At 34.1% G+C, this 6,000-nt stretch overlaps 1 protein-coding gene across 1 annotated transcript in view; it reads right to left on the bottom strand.

The window, feature by feature from the left end:
* Nucleotides 1-1,755: 1,755 nt before the first annotated feature.
* The window catches only part of ZNF726 (zinc finger protein 726), a 29,829-nt gene continuing 25,584 nt past the window's right edge, over nucleotides 1,756-6,000 (bottom strand). The window contains exon 4 of the mRNA NM_001348687.2: nucleotides 1,756-2,976. Coding sequence (NP_001335616.1) covers nucleotides 2,873-2,976 — 104 coding nt within the window. The 3' untranslated portion in view covers nucleotides 1,756-2,872. The remainder of the gene's footprint in view (nucleotides 2,977-6,000) is intronic.

Below are 6,000 nucleotides of genomic sequence, written 5' to 3'. Positions count from 1 at the left end.
ATAAATCAAATTACAACATGACAGAACTTTATTAAACCACAAAGATAGATAAAAAGAAAAAAATTAACATTATGAGAGTAACAAAACCTTACATATTAATATTAACCTTGAATATAAATCAATGAAATCCTTCATTGAAATGCATAGATTTATGAAATGAATAAGAAAAAATGATCCAACTGTATGTTGCCTACAAGAATCTCACCTTACTTGTAAGACACATGTAGATTAAAAGTAAAAGGTGGAAGACAGTAACACAAACAGAAACCAAAAGCAAACTGGAGTATCTATACTTACATCAAATAAAACAGACTTCAAATAAAAAGCAGTAACAAAAAGGATAAAGGTCATCACCCAATAATAAAGAAATCATTTCAGTGAAAGGATATAACAATTCTAAATATCCACGCACCCAACATCAAAACACCCAGATTTTAAAAAGAAATATTATTAAACCTATATAAAGAGACAGATAGTAATACAATAATAGTGGAAAAATGTAACATTCTACTCACAGCATTAGAGAGACCACTGAGATAGAAGAGTTGGCAAATCAAAAAAGTACCCCCAAAACAAAATTATATTAACTACCTTGACCACAGAATAAAACTACAAATCAATAGCAATAAAAATTTCAGAAACTATAAATTTACAAAGAATTTAAACAACATACTCATGAACAGTCACTGTGTAAACGAAATAATTAACATGGATGGCCAGGGGTGGTAACTCACACTTGTAATCCCAGCACTTTGGGAGGCTGAGGCAGGTGGATCACCTGAGGTCAGGAGTTTGAGACTAGCCTGGGCAAGATGGCAAAACACTATCTCTACCAAAAATACAAAAAAATAGCTAGATGTGGTGGTGCGCACCTATGTTCCTAGCTACTCAGGAGGCTGAGATAAAAAGATCGCTTGAGCCTGGAAGGTGGAGGTTGCAGTGAGCCAAGACTGTGCCACTACATTCCAGCCTGGGTGACAGAGTAAAGCCCATCTCAAAAATAATATTAAGATGAAACTTAAAACTTTGTGGGAAAAAAGATGGAAATAGAAACACAGTATAATAAAATCTGTGAGATACAGTAAATATAGTACTAAGAGGGCAGTTTATAGCCTAAATGCCTGCATCAAAAAAGTAGAAAGCTTACATATTAAGGACCTGGCATCACACTTCGAGGAACTAGAATATTAATAAAAAAACAAATTCCAAGTTAGAAGAAAATCATAACAAAAATCAGAACAGAACCAAATGAAATAAAAACCAAAACAATAAAAATTATCAACAGAATAAAGAGTTGGTTTTTCAAAAAGACAAAATTGATAAATTGCTAGCTAGATTCATCACAAACAGAAGAGAGATCTAAATAAACAAAATCAGAAATGAAAGAATAGACATTACAATGGATACAACAGTAATACAAAAGATCACTAGAAATGATTATAAACAACTAGACACTCACAAACCTGAAAACTTAGAGTAAATAAATTTATGGAAACATACAACCTCCCAAGATAGAGCCAGAAAGAAATAGAGTACCTGAACAAACCAATAATGAGTAGCATGATTGAGTCAGTAATTAAAAATGTCTTGACAAAGAAAAGCTTAGGACTAGAAAAATGCACAGCCAAATTCTACCAAATGTATTTGAATAACAATCCTCTTGAAACTCTTCCCAAAAATGAAATTCTTCCTAAGTCACTCTGAGGTCAGTTTCACCCTGATACCAACATTAGGCAAGGACACAACAAAGAAAACTATTATTGTATTATTATTTATTATATTATTATTAAAAATAGACAAACGGGACTAAAAAGCTTTGGCACAGCAAAAAAAATAATCAACAGGGTAAATAGGCAACCTACAGAATAAATGAACATATTTGCAAACTATGTGCCAAAATGAAACTAACATTCAGAATTTACAAGTAACTCAAACAACTCAAAAATATCATAATAATAAAGAATCCCATTGAAAAATGGGCAAATAACATTAGTAAACATTTTTCAATAAAGACATGCAAATAGCCAACACACATATGACAAAAATGCTCAGTCTCAACTATAAATAGAACTACCATTTGATTTAAAAGTCTCATCATTGGGTATCTACTCAAAGAAAAATAGTTTATTATAAGAAAATGATACCTATACTTGAATGTTTATTGCATGCTCACAATAGCAAACCATATATACAAGAAAAGCTTAATATTCAAAATATACAGGAAATTCAAAGCAAAGGCAAGTATAACAATAAAAACCCAACAGAAAAATGGTCAAAAGATTCAAAAAATATTTTGCCAGCAAATATATACACATGACCAATAGGTATATAAAAAAAGTGGTCAATATCACCTAACAACAGGCAACTGCAAATGAAAACAATAATGAGCTATCACTTGAGTTAGGATTGCTAATATTAAAAACAGAAAATAGAGAAATAAGTAACCTCTGTCATTGATGTTCCTGAGATTTCTGAAACAAATCTTAATATCACCACTGCTCTCATACATTTCAGACATGATGGGAAAATTTGAGAAATAATCTAACATGCAGTTCCTCAAAAATACTCGAGATATTTTTATATTCCCCCGAAGCAATGGAAGAGCAGGTATATCATGCAGTACCTTATAAGCCATAAAGAGGAGTTTAGTTCTCATGGTACCCTCAAAGGAAAATCACTAAATAGGAAGTAGAGTCCTTAGAAATAATTTAAGGGTATGGGACAAAAATGCTCCTACTTCAGAGCTAGAGGAAAAAAAAAGGCTTTTTAGGAAATCTTTCCACTGAAGCAGAGCATCCCATATCACATTTTAAAGTCTGGCATTCTTTTTGACCTTTGAACCTGTCATCTGTGTTATCGGCTTCATTCATGCTTACCTACCTGAGTATTTGACTACTGTCTCATGTCTCTTCACATTCCAGGGCTCTTTTATTTGCTCAAGGCAGGAGATCAGATCAGGGTTAGAGACAGCAAGGCCTGTTTTGTTAGAAAAAAGTAATATGACTTGCTGGGATTCTCCAGTTAGCAACCTAGTACCATGTTCAGTAGAGAAAATATTATGAAAGCTTCTACATATTTAATTTCAAAATACTGTTTTCTGATAGAACCTTTAGAATATTTAGAACATATTTTACATTTCTGGGTCTGTAGCTCTGCTATCCAATACCATTGAATTTAAAATTGGTCCTGGATATTGGATTTTAATATGTGGGCAACAATATTTATTGCCATTGAATTTCTAGACATGGGGGTGAAACCCCATCTCTACTAAATATACAAAAATTAGCTGGGCGTGGTGGTGCACATTTGTAGTCCTAGCTACTCAGAAGGCTGAGGCAGGAGAATCGCTTGAACCTGGGAGGTGGAGGTTGCAGTGAGCCAAGATCAAGCCACTGCACTCCACCCTGGAGACAGAGCACGACTCCATTCCCCTCACCTTCCCTCCCCAAAAAAAAACACCAAAGTATGCAGACAACAAAGAGCATGATGAATGTAATTGTACATCACATTTCAATACTAACACTGAATGGAAATGGCCTAAATGCTCCAATTAAAAGACACAGAACTGCAGAATGGACAAGAACTCACCAACTATCTGCTGTCTTCAGGAGACTCACTTAACATAAGGACTCAAAAGTGGAGAGATGGAAAAAGGCATTTCATGCAAATGGACACCAAAAGAAAACAGGGGTAGCTATTCTTATATCAGACAAAACAAATTTTAAAGAAACAGTGGTTAAAAGAGACAAAGATGGACACTATATAATCGTAAGTGGCCTGATCCAACAGGGAAACATCACAATCCTAAACATATATGCACCTAACACTGGAGCTCCAAAATTTATAAAACAATTATTAATAGACCTAAGAAATGAGATAGACATCAATACCATAAGAGGGAGGGACTTCAATACTCCACTGACAGCACTAGACAGATCATTAAGACAGAAAGTAAACAAAGAAACAATGGATTTAACTATACCCCGGAACACATGAACTTAACAGGTATATACAAAACATTTAATCCTACAACCGCAGAACACAAATTCTATTCAACAGCGAATGGAACTTTTTCCAAGATAGATCATATGATAGGCCATAAAACGAGCCTCAATAAATTTAAGAAAATTGAAATTACATCAAGCACTCTCTCAGAGCACAGTGGAATAAAACTGGAAATCAACTCTCAAAGGAACTTTCAAAACCATGCAAATACATGGAAATTAAATAACCTGCTCCTGAATGAGCACTGGGTCAAAAACAAAACCAATATGGAACATAAAAATTCTTCAAACTGAATGACAATAATGACACAACCAATCAAAACCTCTTGGATACAGCGAAGATGGTAAGAGGAAAGTTCATATCCCTAAATGCCTACATCAAAAAGTCTGAAAGAGCACAGACAATCTAAGGTCCACCTCAAGGAACCAGAGAAACAAGAACAAACCAAACCCAAACCCAGCAGAAAAAAGGAAATAACCATGATCAGAACATAACTAATTGAAATTAAAAGAAAAAATAAAAAAGGTAAATGAAACAAAGAGCTACTCCTTAGAAAAGATAAATAAAATTGATAGGCCATTAGCAAGATTAACCAAGAAAAGAAGAGAGAAAATCCAAATAACCTCACTGAGAAATGAAACAGGAGATATTATAACTGACACCACTGAAACGCAAAAAATTATTCAAGGCTACTATGAACACCTTTACACACATAAACTAGAAAATCTAGAAGAGATGGATAAATTCCTGGAAAAATACAACCCTCCTAGCTTAAATCAGGAAGAATTAGATACCCTGAACAGACCAATAAAAAAGAGTGAAATTAAAATGGTAATTTAAAAATCACCAAGAAAAAAAGTCCAGGACCAGACTGATTCACAGAATTCTACCAGATATTCAAAGAATTGGTACCAATACTTTTGACATTGTTCCACAAGATAGGGAAAGAAGGAACCCTCCCTAATTCATTCTGTGAAGCCAGCATCACCCTACAACCAAAACCAGAAAAGACAAAACCAGAAAAGAAAACTACAGATTAATATCCTTGACAAACATTGATGCTAAAATTCTTAACAAAATACTAGCTAACCAAATCCAACAACATGTCAAAAAGATAATCCACCATAATCAAGTGGGTTGCATACCAGGGATGCAGGGATGGTTTAACACACACACGTCAACAAATGTGATACACCACATAAATAGAATTCAAAACAAAAATCAAATGATTATTTCAATAGATGCAGAAAAACCATTTGACAAAATCCAGCATCACTTTATGATTAAAACTCTCAGCAAAGTTGGCATACAGGGGTCACAACTTCATGTAATAAAAGCTATCTATGACAAACCCGCAGCCAACATAATAGAGAATGGGGAAAAGTTGAAAGCATTCCCTCTGAGAACAGAAAAAAGAAAGGATGCCCATTCTCAACACTCCACTTCAACATAGTTCTGGAGTCCTACCTAGAGCAATAAGACAAGAAATAAAGGGCATCCAAATCAGTAAACAGGAAGTCAAACTGTACCTGTTTGCTGATGATATGATAATTTACCTTGAAAACCCTGAGGACTCCTCCAGAAAGCTCCTAGAACTGATAAAAGAATTCAGCAGTTTCTGGATACAAGATTAACGTATACAAATCAGTAGTTCTTTTATTTACCAACAGCAACCAAATGGAGAAATAATCAGGAACTCAACCCCTTTTACAATAGCTGAATAAAAATAAAATACTTAGGAACATATCTAATGAAGGAGTCAAAAGAACTCTACAAGGAAAACTACAAAACACTGCTGAAAGATATCATAGATGACACAAACAAATAGAAACACATCCCATGCTCATGGAAGGATAGAATTAAATTTGTGGAAATGACCATACTGCCTAAAGCAATCTACAAATTCCACAGAATCCCCTTCAAAATACCACCATCATTCTTCACACAGTTAAAAAAAACGATTCTAACATTCATATAGAGCCCACATAGCCAAAG

This window comes from Homo sapiens, chromosome 19, assembly GCF_000001405.40.
Source record: "Homo sapiens chromosome 19, GRCh38.p14 Primary Assembly".
In the NCBI taxonomy this organism is placed as follows: domain Eukaryota; kingdom Metazoa; phylum Chordata; class Mammalia; order Primates; family Hominidae; genus Homo; species Homo sapiens.
The sequence above is the reverse complement of the archived record's forward strand: the minus strand, read 5'-3'. Positions and strand labels throughout refer to the sequence as shown.